The 27,474-nt window shown below is 43.4% G+C and overlaps 1 protein-coding gene across 2 annotated transcripts in view, besides 4 other annotated features; it reads right to left on the bottom strand.

Annotated features, from left to right (window-relative positions):
- MKLN1 (muskelin 1) overlaps nucleotides 1-27,474 on the bottom strand; it is a 386,539-nt gene that overhangs the window by 265,638 nt on the left and 93,427 nt on the right. The window lies entirely within an intron of this gene.
- Nucleotides 9,759-9,959: a silencer, noted in NCBI's record as "peak6724 fragment used in MPRA reporter construct". NCBI's record gives its function as "represses an SCP1 promoter by STARR-seq MPRAs in K562 erythroleukemia cells {active_cell/tissue: K562}" and the evidence as "EXISTENCE:reporter gene assay evidence [ECO:0000049][PMID:32103011]".
- Nucleotides 11,843-11,912: an enhancer, noted in NCBI's record as "active region_26673". NCBI's record gives its function as "activates an Ori minimal core promoter by ATAC-STARR-seq in GM12878 lymphoblastoid cells {active_cell/tissue: GM12878}" and the evidence as "EXISTENCE:reporter gene assay evidence [ECO:0000049][PMID:35858748]".
- Nucleotides 27,294-27,438: an enhancer, noted in NCBI's record as "145 bp 7:130888388 sequence used in MPRA reporter constructs". NCBI's record gives its function as "activates a minimal TATA-containing promoter with rs17165483 allelic activity by MPRAs in C283T melanocytes and UACC903 melanoma cells {active_cell/tissue: C283T | UACC903}" and the evidence as "EXISTENCE:reporter gene assay evidence [ECO:0000049][PMID:36423637]".
- Nucleotide 27,366: a transcriptional cis regulatory region, noted in NCBI's record as "rs17165483 or 7:130888388 MPRA-significant variant associated with a GWAS melanoma risk locus at 7q32.3". NCBI's record gives its function as "allelic transcriptional activity by MPRAs in C283T melanocytes and UACC903 melanoma cells {active_cell/tissue: C283T | UACC903}" and the evidence as "EXISTENCE:reporter gene assay evidence [ECO:0000049][PMID:36423637]".

Here is a 27,474-nt window from a genome sequence, read left to right as displayed (position 1 = left end):
GCGTCACCACCACGCCCAGCTAACTTCTGTATTTTTAGTAGAGACGGGGTTTCACCATGTTGGCCAGGTTGGTCTCGAACTCCTGACCTCAAGTGATCCATCTGCCTCGGCCTCCCAAAGTGCTGGGATTACAGGTGTGAGCCACTGTGCCCGGCCAAAAGAGACATATAAACAGAAGCCATGATGTCCCGGTCAGTCGCAAGATGAGATGGAGGCTCCCCATGCCATTACTCTCCCAGACTCAGTCAGGGCTTATATACTGTAGGGAAGGAAGGCACAGGGCAATTGAAATTGACCCTGCAGGGAAAGGCAAGAATGCCATGTGAACCTGACTAATGGTAGGATTTATGATTAAGGTTGTTTTGACCTAAGGGCAAGATGTATGGTAAATACATGCTCTTACATAAAGAACAACAGATAAACTGGAAATCTTAGAAGCCTTCCCAGAACTGGGGTTAATCAGAAGTCAACATGACGGATCAACATCCAAGGTGCTTTGGCCCCTACAAGGGACTACATATGAAAGTAACTCAGCAGCAAACAGAGCAGCTGCCTCCTCATCATCCCCACCACTGGGATTTCTTCTGGTGACCAATAAATAAGTTTGTAAATCAAATATAAAATACTAAGCCCTCCAACTAAACAGACCCCCTTTTGGCCAAGGGGGCCCCAGAAAATCCCAAAAAACTGAATTCCCAGCCATGATGAGAAGGGAGGTGGGACACACCTCCTTATACCTCCTCCCTTTTGGATTTGGGCACAACTGACCCATATTAATATTAAAATAGAGACCATAAGACTGTCAAAACAGACTTTTTATGGCAGTAAGATACCAAATTATAAACAAGACCCAAGGCCATGCCAGGCAAGGGTTAAGTCACACCCTACAAACCACAGAATCTTGTTAAATGGGTTTTTAAAAATTAACCTGGTATAATGAGGCTTACTTTCCAACCTGACTCTAATATAGCATCACAGGACAGCAGACCCTGAAGGAAATCAAAATATTTTACCCCGAAGTATATTTCTTTGACATAATTTGAAGTAGCCCTGCAAAGCCATCACGAAACAGGGAAACCTGCATCTGTAGAGAATCTCTGTTAATGCAGCCAGCCTTTGTTAGATCTAAGAGAGATTCACCGCCTAAGTGTGGTGGCTTGGGCTTGTAATCCTAGCACTTCGGGAGGCTGAGGCAGGAGGATCACTTGAGCCCAGGAGTTCGACACCAGCCCGGGCAACATGGCAAGACCCCATTACTACGAATAAAAAAAATCAGCAGCCTGTGGAGGCGTGGGCTTGTGGTCCCAGCTCCTCAGGATGCGGAAGCAGAAGGATCACCTGAGCCCAGGAGGTTGAGGAGGCAGTGAGCTGTGGTCTTGTCACCACATGTGTCCAGCCTGGGTAAGAGAGTGAAACCCTGTCTCAAAACAACAACAACAACAACAACACACACACACATGTCTGAAAAGAGACATTGACCATCTATTCTCTCAGAGGGCTGTGATATAGGAGGCTTCCTCTACGTAACAAAGCCCTTGGTCCCCACAACTCCTCTACCTTAACTCAGACATTTCTTTCAACTAACTTCAGATCTTTAGATAATAGCTTAACTCTCTCAACCAATCGGGTGTGGGGGTGGGGGATGGGCATCACACACTGGGGCCTGTGGGCAGGTGGGGGGCTAGAGGAGGAATAGCATTAGGAGAAATACCTAATGTAGATGACGGATCGATGGGTGCAGCAAACCACCATGGCACGTGTATACCTATGTAACAAACCTGCACATTCTGCACATGTACCCCAGAACTTAAAGTATAATTAAAAAAAAAAAAAGAATCCCTAAAACCCACCTACGGCTTAAGCCCCACACCCTCCCCCTACATTCTGCTTCCAGATGTCACACCTTTTTGGGCTGAACCAATGTACACCTTCTATGTATTGATTTATGTCTATGCCTGTAACCCCTGCCTCTCCAAAATGTATAAAACCAGACTATAACCTGACCACCTTAGGACCACTTACTCAATAATTCTTGGGTTTTTGTTTTCTCTGGGCTACAGTCACTTCTACTGGCTCACAATCAACTCTTTAGAAGATTTTACAGAGTTTGGATTTTCGGTGAACAAGTCCAATCCTACTTACAAGATAAGGCTTTAAAAAACTTGCGAGTACAAGTGAGAAGAAACTGTTCTATCAAGGAAGGTTGTGTTAATGATGGGAAAATGTAGCATGGATCTTTTAAATTGATTGATAAGACTTATGTTCCAGAGTACAGTGTTTCAACATTTGAACTGTTTTCCCATCAAGAGAGGGTAAGGATGAGATGTAACTATGTCTGGTTCTTTACTTGCATGATTTCACTTTAATTCTCACAAAAACCCATAAAAGAGATCTTATTGTCTTCATTTTATAGATGAAGAAAGCGAGGCTGAGAAAGGATAAGAATTAGGGAAAAACCCCTAATACTAAGAGCAGCAGAGCTGAGGTTTGAACCCAAATCTGCCTGACTCCAAAATCCTTTCTTTATTCCTCTTGATTCCTCCCAAGAGCTATTTTTTAAATGTTGACATAAGGTTTGGTGCAAGGTGGCACATCATGCCTGTAATCCCAGCACTTTGGGAGGCCGAGGTGGTCAAATCACTTGAGCCCAGATCTTGAGCTCAAGAATGTTAAGATAAGAACATCAGAATGTTCTGATAAGAATGTTCTATTGCTGAGACCAGCCTAGGCAACATGGCAGAAACCTGTCTCTACAAAAATAAAATTAGCTGGGTATGGTGGTGCACACCTGTAGTCCCAGCTACTCAGGGGGCTGAGGTGGGAGGATGTCTTGAGCCTGGGAGGTTAAGGCTGCATTGAGTGGAGGTTGCACCACTGCACTCCAGCCTGGGGAACAGAGGGAGACCCTGTCTCAACAACAACAAAAAATTGTTGACATTAACTTTTGGTTGAAAAGAGGATGAAAAACAAAGATTGGATATTTATTGAGCTCTGATTATGGGCCACACACGAAGCTGGGCCCTACTGGGGGACAGAATAAATCATCCCGCGCTGGAAGGGAAGAGCATGGAATGCAGGAAGCTGCCACATGAGCAAAGGATGCATAATAAACAATGAAATACGAGTGAAGGCCGGGCGCGGTGGCTCAAGCCTGTAATCCCAGCACTTTGGGAGGCTGAGGCGGGCAGATTCCTTGAGGCCAGGAGTTCGAGACCAGCCTGGCCAACGTGGTGAAACCCTGGCTTTACTAAAAATATGAAAGTTAGCCATGCATGGTGGTACGTTCCTGTGATCCCAGCTACTCCAGAGGCTGAGGCAGGAGAATTGCTTGAACCTGGGAGACACAGGTTACAGTGAGCCAAGATTGCTCCACCGCACTCCAGCCTGGGTGACAGAGTGAGATTCTGTCTCAAAAAAAAAGAAAGAAAGAGGGAAGGAAGGAAGGAAAAGAAAGAGAGAAAGAAAGAAAGAAAGAAAGAAAGAAAGAAAGAAAGAAAGAGAAAGAAAGAGAGAAAGAGAGAAAGAAAGAAAGAAACAAAGAAGAGAAAAGAGAGAAAGAGAGAAAGAGGGAGAAAGAGAGAGAGGGAAAGAAAGAGAGAAAGAAAGAAAAAAAAGAAAGAAAAAGAAAGAAAGAGAGAGAAGGAAAGAAAGAAAAGAAAAGAAAAGAAGAAAGGAAGTCTCCTTATCATAAAGGGGATTGTCTTGTGCTGGAGAACTAAAGGGAGGAGTGGTTGGTTCCGGTTGTGCCCAGAGGCAAGGAAGGTTTCATAGAACCCTGGAAGAACGTTCTGATAAGACGCTGAGCAGAGCAGGGAAGGAGTCCCAGGTGTCAGGACACTGCAGGGAAAGAAACGGGTTACAGGAGCTGGGTAGAAAAGCTCACATGAACTCAGTGTATGGTTGGAATAGTGAAAAGTGATGGTAGATTTGAGGTCGACCATAGAAGGTTGTGAAGAAAAGTCTGAGCATGAAATGGGGAATTCTGGAAGATTTTTGAGTGGGAAAGGCAAAGATCCAATCAAATCCTTGACCAAAACATCTCAAATTATTGCTGAATCCATTCTGACATCAGATCACAAGTACACAAGGTATACAAAGCAGAAAAATATAGAAAATCAATATTCTTCATCAAGACTCAAAAATAAATGGCCCACTTACTTCCAAAAACAAAACACAACAAAACAAAAAAAACCCCAACAAACAAAAACACACAGCAAATGAGAGGATATATACCAGAATGCATGAGCTCAAATCCAGCCTGCCCTTTTCCTTCTGTACTGGCCAGGAATAGTCCCATTCTCATGACTCACAAGACAACTTCATCAACCAAAAACCCTGGGACAACAAATACAATCCCCTGCTCCCACATAGAAAAAACTCCAATAGTGAAATGACAATTCCTTTCATTTCCTTCCTGTTCAGAAGCCAGGCCATGAAGATTTGCTGAACTATTCTCTCACCTGAATACACTAGATAAACATGCTAGGATGGGAACTGGATCCTGATGGCTTAATTGAGTTAAAAGGAAAAGTGCGGATCATCTAAAAGCCTCTCAATGGTTTCAGAGAGGCTGTCACGGCTCTGAAAGCCCTAATGGCGTTTCTCAGTTCCTTGGTTAGGGAGGAGCAAAATGAATTTCCTAGCACAGAACTCAAAAGCACTAGAAGTCAGCAGTTCTGAAAGACTGCAGAAAGGGCTTGTTTACATTTTTCTCTTGGGCTGAAACCCATCTATTTAAACTTTAACCAGAGGCAATTATAAAACCATGGTGAGCCAGAGATGGCAGCCTGCACAAGACAGGGAGACAGATGCCAACAGTCTGGCATTGAAGGAGGAAAGAGAGAGGTGTATTTTGAGAAAGGGGCCAAGGAAGAACAACAAGGAAGGTTTTAGAAGCAAAAGGTGTCACCTAGGCAGCTGGTCTTTATGAGAAGTGGCTGGGGAGAAAGTAGGGAGGGAGGGAGGGGGGAAGGCAGGCGGGGTAGAGAGGCCAGGAAGGACAGCAGGCTCTGAGGGAGTAGGAAGGGCTGGGGCTGCCACCAGCCCACCAGTTCACAAGTCCCACCCAGTAACAGCTGACTGCTCTAGCTCCTCTGTTTATACCTTTTTTCCCTTCTTGGGTCAAAAGTGCATTAGTCCAGAAAACCAGCAGCCATGAGGAGAGGCCAGCCTGGAGCAGACACACCCAGTCTGCCAGGACACAGGCCGTCTTCCTCGAAGGCCAAGCCTCCTTTTCCATGCAGGTTTTCCTGGCAAAGACCCACCGGGGAGCCTTGAGAGTAGCCCAGTGACGTCAGAGGAAATACCCAACTCGACAAAGGATCCTACTCCAGTTGCCAATAAATGGAACTGGTTAGCATGCCCTGATCTGGGTCTTAGAATTTGCTGAATCCTAAGGACAAACTCAGAAAGAGAGAGATCTGTTGCTCCAAAGTGAATGTTTTTATCTTGGATTTGAGGAGGCCCATGGACCTGACACTGACATTAGGGCCGGTTTTAGATGCATATAAAAATATGAGGTGGCTGGGACTCCAGCTGCTATGGACTGAGTGTTTGTCTCTCCCCAAATTTCATGTATTGAAAATCTAACCCCCAAAGTCATGGTTTTAGGAGTGGATCCTCTGAGCAGGGATTAGGTCATGAGGGGCTCTGATTAGTACCCTTATAAAAGAGACCTCGGAGAGATATCTTCCCTCCTTCCACCATGTGGAGACACAGCAAGAAGGTGCTGCTTATGGATCAGAAAGCAGGCCTTACCAGACACCGAATCTGCCATGACTGTGGCTTCCCAGCTCTAGAACTGTGACAAACAAATTCCACATGTTCATGAGCCATCCAGTCTATGGTATTTTATTACAGCAGCCTGAACAGACTAAAAGACACCGTCCCCCAAATCTCTAGTATTTCTTTTTTTTTTTTTTTTTGAGACACAGTCTCTCTGTTGCCCAGCCTGGACTGCAGTGGCACGATCTTGGCTCATTGCAAGCTCCGCCTCCCGGGTTCGCACCATTCTCCTGCCTCAGCCTCCCGAGTAGCTGGGACTACAGGTGCCTGCCACCATGCCCAGCTAATTTTTTGTATTTTTAGTAGAGACGGGGTTTCACCATGTTAGCCAGGATGGTCTCGATTTCCTGACCTCATGATCTGCCCACCTCGGCCCCCCAAAGTGCTGGGATTACAGGCATGAGCCACTGCGCCCAGCCAAATCTCTAGTATTTCAAGGAGCCTGTTATCCTAACCTGAGATGTTCACTCCTTTGAGGGTTTTTTTTTGAGACAGGGTCTCACTCTGTCACGCAGTGGCATGATCACTGTAACCTCCAACTCCTGGGTTCAAGTAATCCTCTGGCGTCAGCCTCCCAAGTAGCTGGCACTACAGGCACATGCCACCATGCCCTGCTAATTTTTATTTATTTTAATTCTTTATTTTATTTTATTATTATTATTTTTTGAGAAGGAGTCTCGCTCTATCACCAGGCTAAAGTGCAGTGGTGTGATCTTGGCTCACCGTAGCCTCTGCCTCCTGGGTTCGAGCGATTCTCCTGCCTCAGCCTCCCCAGTAGCTGGGATTACAGGCACTCGCCACCACGCCCAGCTAATTTTTGTATTTTTAGTAGAGATGGGGTTTCGCCATGTTGGCCAGGCTAGTCTTAAACTCCTGACCTAAGGGGATCTGCCCACCTTGGCCTCCCAAAGTGCTGGGATTACAGGTGTGAGCTACCGCACCCAGCCCCAGCTAATTTTTAAATTTTTGTATAGAAACCAGGTTTCTCTGTGTTGCCCAGGCTGATCTCAAATTCTTGGCCTCAAGCGATTGATTGTCCCCAATAGCTTCCCAAAGTGCTGGGATTACAGGTTTGAGCCTCCACACCAGCCAGTGCTTTGAGTTTTTAAACTTTTTGGTTTTGATGTCCCTGTTAAGATGCAAATGCAGGTGGGTTCAGCGGCTCACACCTGTAATCCCAGCACTTTGGGAGGACAAGGTGGGCAGATCACGAGGTCAGGAGTTCGAGATCAGCCTGACTAACATGGTGAAACCCATCTCTATTAAAAATACAAAAATTAGTCAGGTGTGGTGGTGTGTGCCTGTAATCCCAGCTACTCAGGAGGCTGAGTCAGGAGAATCGCTTGAACCCAGGAGGCGGAGGCTGGAGTAAGCCGAGATCGCACCACTGTACTCCAGCCTTGGCAACAGAGCAAGACTCCATCTCAAAAAAAACAAAAACAACAACAAAAAAAGCACATGCAGTGTATAGAGCTGAGGCTGTAACTCAGAAGTGATCAGCTCATTTCTTAGCAAGAATTCGCTATCAGTTCCAGCCAGCTCAGCATGAGAGCCCTGTGGGAAGAAGATCCAGGAAAAGCATTTTAGAGATGGAGAATGGGCAGAGGCCTTGGGAATTAAGAGCGGCAAGCTGACAGGAGGCATGAAAGAGCCACAGAAAAATCTCTGTGTAGCAATGAGGCCTGGTCCCGCAACACAAGTCAGGGTTAGTGTAGGCAGCAGAAACCCAAGCTCATCCTAACTTCCTGTAAATCTTTCTTCTCTGCTAACCCAGTTTTACTAGGCAAAGTCATCTGGGGCACAGCCAGAGGGACATATGGAAGGTTCAGAGGATTAGCAGAGTACCTGTGATGTTCCGAGCTATGGCTACGGTCTTCCAGAGTAAGGAAGCCAATGTCCTGGGCTTGTCTCCAGACCAGTTTGCTACTCTCACCAGAAAACCTGTCCTACAGCTCTGAACTGGTTGCCTGACTCCAGCCAACCATCTAAAAATTTCATGACCCTGTTCCCAAGGGTCTGAAAGGGGAATGTGGGGAAGAATCCCTATAAACTCACCCAGATTGGCAACAGATCCCAAAGTAGTATCCTTTCCTATGTAGGGGCAGAGCACTTCTTACCATGAAGATAGCATAGTGCTTGTTATATGCTGAAACTGTATTTATTTATTTTTTTTTCTGAGACAGAGTCTTGCTCTGTCACCAAAAGTGGAGTGCAGTGGCGTGATCTCTGCAACCTCCACCTCCGGGGTTCAAACCATTCTCATGCCTCAGCCTCCCAAGTAACTAGGATAACAGGTGCGCACCACCATGCATGGCTAGTTTTTATTTTCTTTCTTTTTTTTTTTTTTTTTGTATTTTTAGCAAAGAGGATTTTACCATGTTGGCCAGGCTGGTCTTGAACTCCTGACCTCAGGTGATTCACCTGCCTTGGCCTCCCAAAATGTTGAGATTACAGGCGTGAGCCACTGTACCCGGCCTGAAATTGTATTTTTAAATGTTTATATGGGTAGAAATGGCTTCCTTGTGCCCTTATCCCTGGAGAGAAAGAAGGGCAGATTCTGATGTCTTCTGCAGAATTAAGCCTGTGAACACGTGACTGCCAGTGGATACACCAGGAGGCACACAGAAGTTTCAGAGGAATACACACACTGCCCAAACCCAACAGAGAGTGTTATACCTTAGGGGAGATGCTTTGTAAAAGCAGCCATGAAATCTCCAAAGGAGATCCTGGGAGACTCTACATAAACCAGAGTGGCAGCATGGTGGAGTAGTGAAAAGCATGACTTCGGGTATTAAAGATGCTAATACCAGAGAGATGTCTTCCCTTCTTCCACCACGTGGGGACACAGCAGGAAGGTGCCATCTATAAACCAGAGAAGTAACAGCTGGGTAACTCTGAGCAAGTCCTTAACCTCTCTGGGCTTCAGTTTCCTTTTCCTCATCCATAAAATTCAGACAATAGTAGTTCTTAGCTCACAGGGTTGTTGTAAGGATTAAATGAGTTAATATTTAAAAATACTTAGAGGCCAGGCACAGTGGCCTGTAATCCCAGCACTTCGGGAGGCCGAGGTGGGCAGATCACTTAAAGTGATCACTAGATCACCCTAGCCAACATAGTGAAACCCCATCTCTACTAAAATTAGCCGGGCATGGTGGTGCATGCCTGTAGTCCCAGCTACTCAAGAGGCTAAGGTAGGAAAATTGCTTGAACCCAGGAGGCGGAGGTTGCAGTGAGCCGAGATCACACCACCACAATCCAGCCTGGGCGACAGAGCAACACTCCATGTCAAAATAAATAAATAAATAAAATAAAAGCACTTAGAACAGTGTCTGAACAGTGTCTGTCACACAGCAAGAACTATTTAAGTGTTACATTTAAAAAGTGGCAAGAGGCCGGGCATGGTGACTCATACCTGTAATCCCAGCACTTCGGGAGGCTAAGGTGGGTGGATCACCTAAGGTCAGGAGCTCGAGACCAGCCTGGTCAACATGGTGAAACCCCACCTCTACTAAAAATACAAAAAAAAAAAAAAAAAATTAGCCGGGTGTGGTGGCACACACCTGTAATCCCAGCTACTCAGGAGGCTGAGGCAGGAGAATCATCCAAACCAGAAGACGGAGGTTGCAGTGAGCCTAAATCATGCCACTGCCCTCCAGCGTGGGTGATGGAGCCAGACTTCGGTCTTTAAAAAAAAAAAAAAAAAAAAAAGTGGCATGATCAAATCTCCAGAATGGAAACCTCAGTTGGTTCCATGATTCACCCAGTCTAAGGAGGTCTTCCATTGGCTCTGTCCTGCACTTACCCTCTCAGCATACTGGCATGAGGAGGTTGGAAGATGCCTGGACACCTTTCTCCTCCAGCACTAGGCAGGGCACCTCTGCTCTACTCTGCTTCTTGGCCATGTGCACGCCCAGGGCCATGAACCAACAATGGGGAGCTCCACCCAGGGCTTGGACCAGAAATGGGCATCCCTCAATTCAAACCCCGCAGGCCCTTTCCAGGCTCCATGTCTGTACTGTCACCAAGTGTTGCAACTCAACCTGTCCATCACGCATACTGTGCACCAAGCCAGGGTTACAGAACACAAGGAAAAGCTATTCTTGAGAAAGGTAGGAAAAGCAGATAAAGGTTTGCTGCAAAATCACTGATATGAGGCAGATGGATTAACATGGGAGAAAAGGTATACAAATTGACTTCATATGCATGAAACTACCCACACAGGGTTGACAAGAATTGCATGCCAGGTTCTGGACAGAAATACAGGTATTTCATAGTGCATTCATAGAATATATTACATAATATGTTATATAATATCATTAATTAAATATAAGCATTAATCAGGCTGCACTTTGGCCCACTTCCTTGTTGCTAAAAGTCACTAGATACTGAAGATTTGTACCCTCTCTGTTCCTCCAGACGGGATATCTGACGTCAGAATCAATCATAAGGCTTTTGTTTAAGGATCACTTAAGATGTTTTTTAGACCTCTAATTCTAGCAACCAATTTGAAGACCCCCCACAGAGGAAGAGGATCAGCATGAGCGAATAGCTGCTTCATCTCCCTGTCCCATGATGTCACGCTACACTCTTCTACCAACTGATGACCTCCACACTGGCCCACTCCAAAACCCTTAATAACCCTAACTCCAAATTCCTCCTGGAGATGTGTTTGAGTTTTTCTCCCATCTCCTTGTTCAGTGACCCTATGATTAAACCTCTTTCTCTGCTCCAACCAGGTGTCTCGGTATATTGACTTGCGTGGGCATTGGGCAATGAACCTATTACGGTTACATGTATACAAGGGCCTTCAGAATGAAGATCCAGCTTCCCAATGAGATACAGAAGCTTTGATACCGTCTTGAGGTTACAGAAAAAAATGGGGGCTTGATCCTTATAAAACAGGTTATGGGAGTGGGGAGAAAGAGAATTCTGTTGAGGGGCAATAAATGATTACTAGGGAGAATGATAGGATGGGGACTAGAAATTAACTTGTAAATAGTTTTCATTGGAATAATAAATGAGTGGAAAGACAGGCACTATCTTGTGAAAGGGTCTGTTCATGTGTGGTTACATTCTTGGTCTTCCAAAGAGGGAAAGAAAACAATTGTTCTCCTTGGTAAGACTGATCTCAGGCAGATAAAGGAACTTCAATTTCTTTGGTAGAGATTGGAGGTGAGGGGGGAAGGTCGGAAGGTCAGAGAGACCTTGAGGATTCCTCAGTGCGGCATGTCAGTGCGCCATATTGTGGGATGTTGGTTTCTGAGCCCCACCATAGAGAAACTAGCAGGTGGCAGGAAGAAGGAAGGATCACGTAAGAGGAAACCAAACACACAAGGAAAAAAGTAAAAAGCTGAAGTAAGTATGAGGAAACTTTTTTTGTCTCTCTATTTTTGGCCAAGTGAAAAAAACAAACACAAGAGAATAAACCCAGTGACTAGAATCAGACACAGCCAGTGGAGGGAGGGAACAAAAGCGAGCTGCAGAATTGCAAATCCATGCTAATTACCTCACCCTTCCTCCTGTGCTGGGCTGAACCCAGGGCCCGACAGCCATTTGTACCATGGCCTAATAATGATTTCATTTCACAGACTTCCTCCCACTTTTTTTTTTTCCTTACAAAGTCCATCACAATTCTGTTTTGGGAAGTAGAAACAGTATCTATCTTTAGACAAGTTAAATGCCAAAAGAACTCAGATAAGCATATCTGAGAAGTAAAGAATAGTTGGTGTGACCAGGACAAATTTCAAATCACAAATATTCGAAATTCTTCTCTGTGCCTTGGAGAGAGAAGTGCCTTTGTTTGCTGAATTGGCTCACAGAACGACTTGGCCTTTGTCCTGTTGTGTAGGACACAGGATGGGGCACAGAAACCAAGGGGAGGCAAAATATTTATCAAGTGCCTACTATTATATCAGGCATTCTGCAAGATGTTAGAAATGCCTCTGCCCTCTGGATGCTAACACTATTTTTTTTTTTAACATTTTTAAAATTGTGGTAAAAAATACCCAAAATATAAAATTTGCCATCTTAACCACTTTTAAGTCTACTGTGCATTTGTGTTAAGTGTGTTCACATTGTTGGACCATCAATCTCCAAAATTTTCCATCTTGCAAAACTGAAGCTTTGTACCCATTAAACAACTCTCATTTCTCCTTCCTCCCCCAGCTTCTGGCAACCACCATTCTGCTTTCTGTTCCTAAGAATTGACCATTCTAGATACTTCACATGAGTGTAATCACACTCATAAATTAGTCTCATAAATGAGTCTGAAAGACAGGCACTATCTTGTGAAAGGGTCTGTTCATCTGTGGTTACATTCTTGGTCTTCCGGAGAGGGGAAGAAAATGCTTGTTCTCCTTGGTAAGACTGATCTCAGGCAGATAAAGGAACTTCAATTTCTTTGGTAGAGGTCGGGGGTCGGGGGGAAGGTTGGAAGGTCAGAGAGACCTTGAGGTATTTGTCTTGTTGTGACTGGCTTATTTCACTCGGCATCATGTTCCCAAGGTTCATCCATGTTGTAGCCTGTGTCAGAATTTCCTTTCTTTTTAAGACTGAATAATAATCCATTGTATGCACATACCACATTTTATTTATCCACTGGGAACCACCTATACAAAAATTACGACAGTGAAGGAAATGTAGCATAACTAACTACATCTTGTTTTAACCTCACAGGCTAACTTGCTCATTCCAAGCTAATTATGGGAGGAATTTAGTTCATAGTTTAACTTCAAAACAAAGACGATGATACTTCTTTCCTGAACTAACCCCCTCTACTTGCTCAGGGACCAAAACCACTTTCATATAACTAACGTAAGTCCACAAGGTTAGAATTGTGACAGAGGTCTGAATTCTGCTAAGATATACACATAATTAAACTCTAATCAGTCATTGTTTTATAACTTGCCTTTAAAAACTACTTACTACTCAGGAGTCATGTAGCGAATGGTAACAAGATTTATAACTTTTCCAATTGCCCCTATGGATAACATCATTATTGTAAAACCTAAGAATGGTATTTGAGATATTTTTCAGACCTTGTATTCCGTATGAACCAACTGGCACCACTCAGACCCATAACCTGCACCCGAGAACTGACTCAGTGCAAGAAAACACTTTCAAGCCCCTATGATTTCATCCCAACCCAACCAATCAGCATTCCCCATTCCCTAGCTCCTGCCTGCCAAACTATCCTGGAAAAACCCTAGCCCTCACATTCTTGGGGAGGCGGATTTGAGAATTATCTCCTGTCCTTCCATTTGGCTGGCCCCACATTTATTAAACTCTTTCTTTGCTGCAGAACCTGCTAGTTTTGCATTGACTTTTCTGGGCAGCAGGCAAGAAGAACCCGGTTGGGCGATTACACATTAATCTGTCATTGGACACTTAGGTTGCTTCCACCTCTTGGCTATTGTGCATAATGCTGCTATGAACACAGGGGTACAAGTATTTCTTCAAACTAACACTCTTTTAAGGAGCCTATCCCATCATATTTTGTTTTGTTTTGTTTTTTGAGACAGAGTTTCACTCTTTCGCCCAGGCTGGAGTGCCATGGCACGATCTCGGCTCACTGCAACGCCTGCCTCTCGGGTTCAAGCAATTTGCCTGCCTCAGCCTCCTGAGTAGCCGGGATTACAGGTGCCCACAACCACACCTGGTTAATTTTTGTATTTTTAGTAGAGACAGGGTTTCACCATGTTGGCCAGGCTGGTCTCGAACTCCTGACCTCAGGTGATCTGCCTGCCTCAGCCTCCCAAACTGTTGGGATTACAGGCGTGAGCCACTGTGCCCAAGCTATCCCATCATATTTGGATGATTTATTTGCCCAACAATCGGCCCAACTGGATTTTTAGTTGCACAGGGATCTGTTTTATTTATCTTTGTATCCCCATTTCCTGTACTGTGTAAGCACATAGTAGGAACTCAATACATATTTGTATTTGTTGAAAAAAATAATTTATTTTTATACTTCTTAGTCACTACTGTTGCAGCTGGCTGTTTTACATATTTTAATAAATAAGTTTTGCAATTTTAATGAATGCTATTTTGATTATATTTATATACTAAGCTAGTTTATATAAGGGGATTCATATAAAAAATATCTAAATCTCAATCAAAATTCACTTTCTAGATGAAATGCCATCGACAATTCCTTCTCACTTATTTTGCTTAAAATCAACTATCATGGTTCTTATTCCTGTCTTTTTAGCCTCTCATTTCCTCAAGCCATGGTACTGCATAGATCCTGAGGGCACTCAATAGGGGGTCTCCTCAGTTCATGGGACATCTTGTTGAATAAAGCCAGGTATGGGCCCAGAGTTTGGTTTGAGTTATTTTCGTGAGGAGGCACAGGATGAAAAAGGCACAGCCCTATCATTGGAGGAACTCACAGTCCTGTGGCTGTCTGGTTAGTAAGAGGCCTCAGTTTTTTCGGGTGCAGAAAATAGTATTTATCTCCATTCCCATTACCCAGGTGACAGACACAGACACAAGTATAGTGTTTACCAAGCACAAGGACCTGAAAGACATTGTAGAAATTGAGTAGCATTGTGTTTGGTGATAATTACTGCATGAAGTGTCGGCAGTAGTAGAAGCTAGTTCTGTAATCCTTTACAAAATAGACATTGAAATTATGATTTCTGGTCAAGGTAGCATTGCTGAACCTTTGAGGCACTCGCTCAGCTCTAAGCACAAAGCAATGGTTATTAAAATATAAAGGAGAAAAATTAAAAGACACAGTTTTCTCCAAATATAATAAACTTTCTTTTTTTTCTTTTTTTTTTTTTTTGAGTCAGAGACTCAGTCTGTCGCCCAGGCTGGAGTGCAGTGGCGCAATGTCGGCTCACTGCAACCTCCGCCTCCTGGTTTTAAGCGATTCTCCTGCCTCAGCTTCCCAAGTAGCTGGGATTACAGGAGTGCGCCACCACGCACTCCTGTATTTTTTGTATTTTCAGTACAGTTTTTTGTATTTTTAGTAGAGAGGGAGTTTCACCATGTTGGCCAGGCTAGTCTTGAACTCCTGACCTCAGGTGATCTGCCTGCCTCTGCCTCCCAAACTGCTGGGATTAGAGGCATGAGCCACTATGCCCAGCCCAAATATAAACTTTTCTTTTGACCGGAAATGCAAAGCAATAAATGGGGCTAAAAACATGGGCCGGTTCGGTTCCAGGTCTGAAAAGAGGCAGGGGATGCTAGAATGGGGCGTCTAGACTCCTTAAAGGGAACTAACAGTGACCTGCATGGAGTGAGGGGAGCGGGTGGTAAACCAGGTTCACTGCTTGAACCTATGGGCTAGACTGAGAGCCCCTATCCCCCCCAAACAAACTGGCTTGTTAGGCTAAATAAGCTGACCGCATGTGGTAATAGGCTTTACATGAAGGAATGATGGGGCAGGAAGAAAGGACACAGACAGGAAACTGGATCAAGCAACTACAGGCCTCCATGACTGAATCCATGGTATCTCCATCATCACAGTAGAGAAAAAGAAAAGACAAACTCTCCTTGTTTGGATAATGTAATCGTTTATGAAGAATATCATACAGACTATCTGAAAATAAAATCAGAATTAAAAAGACAATTCAGGCTGGGCTCAGTGGCTCACATTTATAATCCTAGAACTTTGGAAGGCTGAGGTGGGAGGATTGCTTGAGCCCAGGAGTTCAAGACCAGCCTGGGCAAGATCCCCGGATAATCTAAAAATTAGCTGGGTGTGGTGATGTTTGTCTGTAGTCCCAGCTACCCAGGAGGCTGAGACAGAAGGATCCCTTGAGCCAGAAATTTGAGGCTGCAGTGAGTTATTGTGGTGCCATTGCATACCAGGCTGGGCAATAGCCTGAGACCCTGTCTGTAAAAAAACAACAATTGTCTGGGCACAGAGGCTCACGCCTGTAATCCCACCACTTTGGGAGGCTGAGGTGTGTGGATCACTTATGGTTAGGAGGTCACGACCAGCCTGGCCAACATGGTGAAACCCCATCTCTACTAAAAATACAAAAATTAGCTGGTGTGGTGGTGCATTCCTGTAATCCCAGCTATTTGGTGGGGGCTGAGGTGGGAGAATTGCTTGAACCCAGAAGGCGGAGGTTGCAGTGAGCTGAGATCAAGCGACTGCACTCCAGCTGGGACAACAAAGCGAAACTCTGTCTTGTATGCTGATTGGTATAAGATCAACATACAAAATTCCACTGTAACCCTACATCTCAGTATTTATCACATACAACATTTACTAGCAAACAAAAGATAACATACTTAATAGCCATAAACAATATAGTGTCTAGGAATAAATATAACATGTACTTTTGTATATAAAATATTCTTATGGAAAACATTGCAGAAGATTTGAATAAATGGAAACATATACCATATTCATGAATTAAAACATTCATTATCATAAAGATGTCAGTTCTCCCAAAGTTAATATTTAATTTCAATGCAAACCCAATTTGAAAAATCCCAACCTGATTATGGAACATGGTACAGTGATTACAAAGTCCATGTAGAAAACGAAAGGGTCAAAAATTACATGCATTTGGTGGAAAGTAATAATATACAACTTAGAGTGGCTTAAGCAATAAGAGGTTTATTATTTCAGATTACAGGCTGTCCAGTGATAGGTAGCCCCAATATTGGTTACTTCAACAGCACAGCAGCATCATGGGGACCTGGGACCTTTTCATCTTTCTGCTTAGTTAATCTCTGTGTGCTGGTTTCCAGCTTGTCCCCTCAGAGTGACAAGATGGCTGCTACAGTATCAGCCATCACATTTTTCTCCAACTTTGTACAAACATAGGAAGGGCAAGTCTTTTTCTCATGTACTTTTTTCAGTATGAGGAAAACTTACCCACCCCATCCCAACCCCACTCTAGCACAATTCCACTTAGGTCTCATTGCCAAGACATGCAACAGAAGCCCGTGCCAAAACCAATCCCAAAGGAATGGGATTACTATGACGGGCTTAGACTATGCACTATGGCAGAGGACCCATGAATACTTGAAAATAATTGAGGCTAGAAAGGAGAACGAGGGCTGGGCTCAGTGGCTCATGCCTGTAATCCTAGCACTTTGGGAGGCTGAGGCGGGTGGAAATAATTATATACATATTTCCTGTTTCATGTCACAGTAAGTTTAAGTTGGTTTAAAGACCTAAATATGAACAGTAAAACTTTATACTTCTAGAAAAAAATACAAGACATTATGTTTACACCTTTGGGGTAGGGAAGAACTTATTAAATAAAACATAAAAGTATAAAACATAAAGGAAAATATGGATACATTTTACCACTTTAAAAAAGAGACCATCAAGAAAAAGAAAGCTCAGACTGAGAGGAGATATTTTGCTAGGCATAAAACCATCCATGTGTTAGTATTCAAAAATTATAAAGAACTCATGCGAAGCAATAAGAAAAATAATCAACTATTTCATACCTATAAATTGGCAAAATTTTTAAATTCTGAAAATGCCAAAAATTAGCAAAATGTGGAGAAACAGAACTTTTGGAAAGCAAAATGGTACTGTATATTAATATGAATCCTAAGACCTGTAGTTCCTCCCTTAGGTAAATTGTCTAGACTCATCGTTTTCAACCAAGGGTGATTTTCCCCACCAAGGGAATATTTGGTAATATTTGAAGATATTCTTGGCTGTTAGAGGTGAGGAATTCTGCTCAACATCCTTCCCACAGCAAAGAATTATCTAGTCCAAAATGTCAATAATACAAGGTTGACAGACTCTGGCCTAGAAAAACCTCACATGGTGTGCACCAGAAGACCGGTATTTAAATGTTAATTGCAGCATTGTTTGTTATAGCATCACTGACAACAAACTAAAAACAACCTTCACATCCTTAAGGCAAGAGGAAGGATAAGTAACCTGTATATATTCAAGCAAGAGAATAATGTACAACAATTACAAGTAATGGCTTAGTTCTTTGGGCTGCAATATAAACACATCTAAAAAATAATAATGAATAAAATACACGGCAGAATATTATATACAGCATAATATAGTTTTCCTTTATACTTTACAAACACAAAACAATACTTTGTATTGTTTATGTATATATATGTATAATATAAAAGTATAAAAGTTGCATGGGAATCACGTATTGCAACTTCCAGATAATGGTTACTTTTGTGAAAAGAGGGAAGGAGAAAAATAGAGAAATGAATGTGATTGGCGGTAGGTAAGGGGCCTCAAATGTATTGTAAGACTTTTCACAAACAAACCCTAAATCAAGTAAGTCAAAATTAAGATCTGTTAAGGTAGGTGTTTTTTGTTTTTTTTTTTTGAGACGGAGTTTTGCTCTTGTTGCCCAGGCTGGAGTACAATGGTGCGATCTCGGCTCACCGCAACCTCCGCCTCCCGGGTTCCAGCAATTCTCCTGCCTCAGCCTCAGGAGTAGCTGGGATTACAGGCATGCACCATCATGCCCGGCTAATTTTGTATTTTTAGTAGAGATGGGGTTTCTCCATGTTGGTCAGGCTGGTCTCGAACTCCCAACCTCAGGTGATCCACCCTCCTCGGCCTCCCAAAGTGCTGGGATTACAGGCGTGAGCCACTGCGCCCAGCTAAGGTAGCTGTTTTACACATAGATGTTTGTTAAACTATTTTTCATAGTTTTCTGTTTGCCTGAAATATTTTATAATGAAGATGTTTTGAAATATTTTAAGAACTGCATTTGCAAGAATGAGTATTTCTTATATGTCTAAGGAGCAGAGAGTTGCTGGAAGGAGTCAGTGTTTCTAGAAGACACAGCATCACTCCAAAGGAAGTTAGAGAAGGGAAAAGTGACCTATAGTTAAAGAAGAGTCTATTCATGTAAACACCCTCTCCCAGGGATTCCTGGTAGGAAGAGAATTGACTTTCCTGCTGTGTGAGTGATTGGTAGGCTAAGCCTCTGTCCATGGTCCTATCCCTCTGCCTCAAAACAGCCTTCAGGGAAGGAATTTAGAGGAAGGTTCAAGTTTGCCTTGGAGGAAAGCAGTGAAGTGTCCTGGATAGAGCTGAGAAGTTGAGAGAAGAGGAAACATTTTGGATACAGTATTTAGAAAGAAGTTTCTATTCTCTGCAGTAGGAGCCAGCAGCAGAAAGGATCCTGCAGGACAGCCATTCTTTGTAGTGATGAACAGCTTCAATTGGTGGAGAGAGCTCCGCTTACACTGAGGCCTGCTTGGGAATAATGATACTGTCTTCACTCTGGCATTTCATATTTTCAACAAAGGCCTTCTCATTTCTAATGCTTTTCATCATTTCTCTCCAACACTCCTGTAAGACCATTCAATACTCATCTTTGCTTTTACAGAGATGAGGAGACACTAGTAAAGCTTCTCCAAAGACTTGGAGTCTTTCTATTAACCAATATTTTGACCTAAGCCACTTGGGATACATAAACAGTGAAAGTAACTCAACTGAGAAAGATCTTTTATGAGCCTCCTAGAGTAATCACCCATCTTTTAAAAAGAAACAACATTTCTTGAGATCCCAGGAGGTGTCTGGCACTACACAAAGTGATATGAGCATGAGAGTGCAGAACATAATGTTTGGGAACATAGTGTTCCTCTGGGGACTAAAAAATTAATGCAGATCCAAAACTGTTAAAAAAAAAAAAACACAAGGGTTGGTTGTAATAAATTACAGGAAGACAAAGTGAAAAGCGTAGGGGCAAAAACCCCAAGCATCATGGTAAACTAGGGAGCACAAAAGCAGAATATGATAAGCCAATTAACCTTAGGAGAGTACAGACTCTCAGTAAGGGCAGAATACAAGAGACTTAGCCTTTGAAGGCAATTTTGCAGACTCAGTTACTTGTACACATAGACAATCAATAGATGTTTCTGATGGCCCACTGGCAAATATATACATATATTTGTTTGCTGTAGATGAAGCCCAAGCCATCCTGCATATAATAAAGTATTTAGGAAGAAAATAAGTGGGTTGGCAAACTTTTAATGTACATAACTGGAGACCTAGTTCTGGAAAGCAGCTCTAATGGAAATAGGAGCAATTGGGTTTATAGTTGCTGATTTTTATCAGCAACCAGAAAGTGTGCTAAAAGCTTCATTTGGCCTACTTATAGTTCCCTGGGTAAGTTAGTGGGAAATTTTCACTAGATTATTTGTTATATATCAGGAGAGGAAATACAGCAGTACATGAACACTGTGTCATATAGGTAAGAAGGTATCTTCATAGAAATGTATACTCTAGTCCAGGACAGTGTTGCCCCACCATGGTGATGGAAGATACTTGGTAATGTGGGAACCTGCCTGTTCCTCAGACTGAGCTTTCCCCACCAACCCAGTATACTGTATTTCCTATTTTAACGACTTCAACCCTGCTAACCTATCAATAATAGGGAAGTCAGTCTTATATGTTGATGGTCAGCTTCTAATTTGGTCTCCCTCCTGGCCACTTCAACTTCATTCACTTTTATGCTTAATGCTCCCCTCCCCCCTCCCCTCCCTCCCTCCCTCCCTTCCCCTTTCTCTCTCTCTTTCTCTCTTTCTTTTTCTGAGACAGGGTCTCAGTCGATCTCCCAGGCTGGAGTGCAGTGGCACAAACACAGCTCACAGCAGCCTTGACCTCTCAGGCTCAGGTGATCCTCCCACCTCAGCCTCCCAAGTAGCTAGGACTACAGGTGTGCACCACCATGCCTGGCTAATTTTTTGTATGTTTATTTTTTGGAGATACAGTCTCACTCTGTCCCCCAGGCTGGAGTGCAATGGTACAATCTCAGCTCACTGCAACTTCCACCTCCCAGGTTCCAGCCATTCTCCTGCCTCAGCCTCCCAAGTAGCTGGGACTACAGGTGCACGCTGCCACGCCTGCTAATTTTTTGTATTTTTTAGTAGAGACAGGGTTTCTCCGTGTTGCCCAGGCTGTTCTCAAACTCCTGAGCTCAGGCAATCCACCCTCCTCGGCCTCCCAAAGTGCTGGGATTATAGGCATGAGCCACCATGCCCAGCCAATGCTTCATGTTTTCTAGTGCTATAATCCTATGCTAAGATTTAAAAGGTCTAGAAAATTTTATTCCATTGGAGAAAGGAAGAAATTAGGCAGTCACTTTCACATGAATATCTAATAGGCATCTCAAACCAACATGGTTAGAAGAGTACTCCTGATTCTTTCCCTTAACCTTCTTATATCAAACAACAAGATTTAAACAAATAGTTTTACTTTTTTCATAAACAAGATGTTTGGCAATAGATGATTTCCGGTGTTGACCCAGCTGCTCATCTATACTACCCAGGAATCAGGTAAATTTTTTTTTCTACTTTATCGTACCTCATGTATTGGTCTTTAATCCTCATGTCTTTTGTCTTACAGTCAGAAGATGGCTGCCATAGGTCCAACTATTGCGATGGTATTCCGGACAGCCACATCTATCCCCAGAGGCTTTCACTTAGGGCTTACTAGCCAGAAATGAGTCACCCCTAGCTGCAAAGGAGATGAGGGGATTGAGTATCTAGCAAAAGGGAATGGGATTATTATGACTGAATGACAGCAATCATAATTCATCACTTGAAGCTGGACAAACTGTCATCCTAAACAAAGTCAGGGCTGTGTTAGCAAGGAGGAAGAAAGGAACAGCTATTTGGGAGGGATTTATCAGAGTCTTCTACACTTCTTGTTCCCAGCCAACCTGTCTCACTAAATGGCATCACCATCCACCCAGTGCCCGAGCTGATAACAGAGGACATATCTTTGGTTCCTTTTTCTTATATCTTACATACAAGCCATCGGAAAGTCCCATTGACTCTGCCTTCCACATACACCCCATACACCCAGCGCTCCTCATCTTCACTGCTAGTATCCTAGACCAAGCCGCCATTGTTGGCCTGAATTCCTGTAATTGCTTCCTAAACATCTCTGGACTTCCACCCTTGCTCTCTGCAATTCATTGCCCAAACAGAAAATTACTTCCTTGCTTAAAACTTTCTGAGAGCTTCCCATCTCACTTAAAAATCCAAATTCCTTACCATGGCCAGCCATGCTTAAATGATCTAGGTCCTGTCCACTTGTCCAACTTCATCTTGTACCACTTTTGCATTTGCCACTGAGTTCCAGCCACCTAGGCCCTCTCTCTCTTTCTCAAACTCAAATTTCTTGCCATCTTGAGGATGTCGGAACCTTCTGTTCTCTCCACGTAGAGTGCTCTTCATTCTGATCTTTTCATGACCAGCTCCTCCCTGTCATTGAGATCACTGTTCAAATGTCATCACTTCAGACAGGTCTTCCACAGCCACCCAGTCTAAAATAGCCAGCTTGTCATCTATCACTTCACTCTATTATATTGCTCTGCATTGCTATCACTGTCTAACCTTTCACAGTCTAACACATCATATTTACCTCTTTATGTATCACGTAATGAAAAGTAAGTGTTTCCTCATTTTCCAACTCCCCTACACTAGAATATAAGCTCCATGAGAGCTGGGACCTCATCTGTTGTGTTTGCTGTCGTATTCCTAGCACCCAGATGAAGGCACATGGCAGGTTCTCCTCAAAGATTTCTGAATGATTGAATAAATGAAGGGAAAGATTTTTAAGTAGAAGTATTAAGAATAAAAGTAATATCTGTAACATATTACCAGTATCCTTTAGTTATTATTATTTTTCAAGACAGGGTCTCACTCTGTCACCTAGGCTGGAGTGCAGTGGTGCCATCTCAGCTCACTGCAGCCTCGACCAACCTCCCAGGCTCAGGCAATCCTCCTGCCTCGGCCTCCCAAGTAGCTGTGACCACAGGCACGCACCACCACACCCAGCTATTGTTTATATTTTTTTGTTGAGACAGGGTTTTCCTGTGTTGCCCAGGCTGCTCTCAAACTCCTGGGCTCAAACGATCTGCTAGCCTCAGCCTCCCAAAATATTGGGATTACAGGTGTGAGCCACCATGCCTAGCAGAGTTATTCTTTATAGAGCAAAATTCTTTGCCAGTGAAAGAACATACAATGTGTTGTGCTTTAAGACATCACAATGAATAAGCAACATTAACATCTTCCACCCTACCTCTTTCCTCCTGTGTCCTCCTTTCCAAAGGTAAACATGCCACTTATACCCTAATTGTATCACTCTTTCAGTGCAGTTATCAAATGCCCTCTCCACTGACTTACTTCTCTTTGCCCAATAATATGGTAGCATTTTCTCACTCTTTTCCGAAGGTCTGGGACAATTGAAAAGAAACATCTGGGAAATCTCCCCCCTCCCTCCATTTTTGGCCAGGACTTTAAGAAGGGGGAAACCTAAATATTCTGGGAAGAAGTGAGAAATATTTAGCCTCTGAAACATTTTGCCTTTTTCTTAGGTTTTTCATATTTCTATATATGTTCTTTCCAAAGGCTAAAACCATCTCTACTCCCTTGACCAGAATTTTAGATTTTTCATCAGGCTGTTCTCCAGGTAAAATTACAAGATCAGAAAAATTAATAGATCCTCTTCCTTTCTATGATCCTCTCAGCCTTTTCCAGACCTTTGCAATCCCAAGGTGACCCTCTGTGGGCCCAGGCTTCTGGATCAGTGGTTAGCTGGGCCCATGGACTCAGCCTGTGTTCTAGCCTTTAGTACATCTGGTAGGCCATGGTACATTGAAACCGTGCAGCAAAAACTTGGGAAGTTTGAATCTGTAGTAAAGGCATGGCATGCTAGTGATGCTGATCCACATGCTCCAAAATGCCTGTTTGGCAACATCCTCAAATACTGCCCATAAATAACACACATAGTCCAGCGCGGTGGCTCATGCCTGTAATCCCAACACTTTGGGAGGCCGAGGTGGGCGGATCACTTGAGGCCAGGAGTTCCAGACCAGCCTGGCCAACATGACGAAACCCTGTCTCTACTAAAAACACAAAAATTAGCAGGGCCTGGTGATGCACACCTGTAATCCCAGCTACTTGGAAGGCTGAGGCACAAGAATCACTTCAACCGGGGAGGTGGAGGCTGCAAATCACACCACTGCACTCCAGCCCGGGTGACAGAGTGAGTGAGACTCTGTCTCAAAAATAAATAAATAAATAAAAATAAATAACACACATAGAATCCCTTGGGTTTTGACCTTCTAGACTTGCCTATAGAAAACAAAAGGATTCCCATCTTCAAATATCTTCAGTGAATACATTAAAAATGGGAGTAAATGCCTCTTCTGTATTCACCAAAACCTTAGCCTCTGTCCCTTCTTCACCTGCCATCACCATCTCCTCTACCATACACACCCACACCTAGCTCCAAGCCTCGACAGTACCACTCAGACGTCCATAGACCCTTAAAAACACATGTCCCAAATCAGCCTTGGCAACATTTTAAATCATGCATTAATAAAAATAAAATATGGGGGTGAGTGCCTCCCAAAATATACTATAGTAAGGAAGGGCATGGGGGCTCATGCCCATAATCCCAGCACTTTGGGAGGCCAAGGTGGGAAGATTGCTTGAGGCCAGGAGTTTGAGACCAGCCGGGAAAACATAGCAAGACCCCATCTCTAAAAAAATAAACAAAATTAGCCGGCCACGGTGGCGCACGCCTGTAGTCCTAACTACCCTGGAGGCTGAAGCAAGAAGATTGCTTGAACCCAGGAGTTTGAGGTTGCAGTGAGCTATGATTTTGACACTGCACTCCAGGCCGGGCAACAGAGTGAGAGCCTATCTCTAAAATAATAATAATAATAACAATAATAATAATAATAATTATACACATACATACAGGTATATTAACAAATAAACATATATGTTTAAAAAACACAAAAAAGGGAAGGAAATACAAAATTAAATTCTTTGGTTTAATACTGCTGCTCATCTGTTTCTAGATTGTATCTCAGGTTAACTGAGTAACTATTTCCTTATGGTAAGCAGAGTCCTTAAGATTGCTGCCCAAGATTCCCATCCCCTGGTTATTTTGTGAAACAATAATCTAGGTACAGCTGCAATAGGATTTTGCAGATGTAATTTAAGTTCCAAATTAGTTTACTTTAAAATATGGGGATTATCCCAGAGGGCTTGGCCCAAACCAGTGAGTCCTTTAAAAAAATAGTTTTTTGAGTGGTGGCTCAGGCCTGTAATCCCAGCACTTTGGGAGGCTGAGGCGGTGGATCACCTGAGGTCAGGAGTTCGAGACCAGCCTGGTCAACATGGCGAAACCCCGTCTCTACTAAAAATACAAAAATTAGCTGGGCATGGTGGCACCCACCTGTAGTCCCAGCTACTCAGGAGGCTGAGACAGGAGAATCGCTTGAACCCAGGAGGCAGAGGTTGCAGTGAGCAGAGATCATGCCTTTGCGCTCCAGCCTGGGTGACAGAGCAAGACTCTGTTTCAGAAAAAAAAAAAAAAAAAGTTTTTCTCAGCTGGAAGCAGAAGAGGAAAGTCACAGAGATTCCAGAGGTGAGAAAGATTTAAGGGTGATTGCTGGCTTTGAAGGTGAAGATGGGGGAAAGTGCATGAGAAGGAAAACATGCAAGGCCTCTAGGAGCAGCCAGTGGCTCCTGGTTGACAGCAGGAAAGATAAAAAGGCCTCGGTGTTACAGCCACAAGGAACTCAGTTCCTCCAGCGATCTGAAGGGGCTTGGAAGCAGAGTCTTCCCCCGAGCCCCCACGTAAGAGTCTAGCCTGATGAATACCTTGATTTCTGACTCATTGGGACCCTAAGCAGAGAAACCAGCCAAGCCCACCAGGACTTCTGACCTATAGAACTGCAAAACCTATGGAATAAGTGAAATGTTGTTCCACCTCCCTGAATGTGTGATAATTTGTTACTCAACAGTAGAAAACTAATACACCCCTTCAGTTTTCATATCACCAAATAAAGGTAATAATGTCTGACTATGCCCAAGAAGCGATCGGAAAACAAATATTAATAAGATTTAATTAATATGTTTTAATTTCAACAGAAAAGAAATGTATTACATTATTTCCCAATGTTGTGATTTTTAAATTAATTATAATACCATTGAGGTTCAATCCAGGGCAATTAGACTGTTAAATCCTAGTTAGGTTTGTTTTCTCCGATTCATTGCAGTCACAGGGCAGGGCTAACTTTAGAAGCCTCATCATAAAGGTCTAGAGCATGGAATTGTTGCTGCAGAGGGACATGATTTAACTTGCAGCTTTTTCTTTTTCTTTTTTTTTTTTGAGACGGAGTCTTGTTCTGTTGCCCAGGCTGGAGTGCAGTGGCACAATCTTGGCTCACTGCAACCTTTGCCTCCTGGGTTCAAGCAATTCTCCTGCCTCAGCCTCCCAAGTAGCTAGGGTTACAGGTGCCCACCACCACACCCAGCTAATTTTTTTTTTTTTTTGATACGGAGTCTTGCTCTGTCGCCTAGGCTAGAGTGCAGTGGCGTGATCTCGGCTCACTGCCAGCTCCGCCTCCTGAGTTCACGCCATTCTCCTGCCTCAGCCTCCTGAGTAGCTGGGACTACAGGCACCTGCCACCACGCCTGGCTAATTTTTTGTAGCCAGGATGGTCTCGATCTCCTGACCTTGTGATCGGCCTGCCTTGGCCTCCCAAAGTGCTGGGATTACAGGCATGAGCCACCGCGCCCGGCCTAATGTTTGTATTTTTAATAGAGACGGGGTTCCACCATGTTGGCCAGGCTGGTCTTGAACTCCTGACCTCGTGATCTGCCCGCCTCAGCCTCCCAATGTGCTGGGATTACAGGCGTGAGCCACCGCACCCGGCCTAACTTGCAGCTTTTTCAATTCACAAAACAAAGTACTGCATTTTGTTGATGTTCTATTGGATACTACATCTACATGTCAAATATAAGGATTTTTTTTCTTAGAGATATTTCCCTTTCTAAAAAAAATTGACCTTCAACTTGGGAATACCTGTTGAAATTTGGCAAGCTATTCCTGATCCCTGATCTTGAGAAAATTATGAAAAGAAGAAGCAAAAGATGATCATACCTATTTTAATAAAATTGATCACTAAAATAAAAGAAAACCCCAAAGCTGGGCAAGAATGTTCTGACTACATATTCATTCCCCAAGTAGACCAAGATTCGATGGTGCTGAGCCTGCTAACCCAGACTTATCCTCCTGAGAACAGGTAACCAGGAAGTACTTGGATGAACATCAACCCAGGCCAGATCTAGTTTAAACAAGGCGGTCTGGGGAAGAGATTGTATACAGAGTGAGAACATTCCAATTTAGGAAGTAGACTTTATATACAGGATGAGGAGATGCAAGAAGTATAGCTTGGTAGTTAAAGCTGTATTGGTCCTAGGTAAGTGACTTAAATTCCCCAAGACTCAGTTTTCTCATGTCTAAATCAAGATAGTTTTTCAGTGTTCTTCGCCCAGGGCCCAGGACATGGAGTCATCAATAAATGAGGGCTATGTTAGGATCCAGCAATCTCTGGTGGCTAGACCCAAGCATCATGTTCAAAGCAAAAGACTGCAGGCCAGTGTTCAGGCTAGAAGTCTAAAGCAAGTCTTCCCTTAGGACAGGGAGAGACAGAGAGAGTGGGAAAGGCTATGAGAAGCCGACTCTCCAGGCAGGAGCAGGGCACTTATTAGATTCACAGAAGGAAGGACCTACAGACAAATATTCACAAATAAATATCTCTTTCTAAAATAATCCAATTTTCTGGCCCAATCAGTTGACAATGACTTGGCCACTGAAGATCATATTTTTCCAACATGGTCCGTTTTCTTGGCTTTCCTAAGTCATTAATTATGACCATGTTTTCCCAAATGTGGAAATTCCCC

Source organism: Homo sapiens, chromosome 7, assembly GCF_000001405.40.
Source record: "Homo sapiens chromosome 7, GRCh38.p14 Primary Assembly".
Classification (NCBI taxonomy): Eukaryota; Metazoa; Chordata; class Mammalia; order Primates; family Hominidae; genus Homo; species Homo sapiens.
The sequence above is the reverse complement of the archived record's forward strand: the minus strand, read 5'-3'. Positions and strand labels throughout refer to the sequence as shown.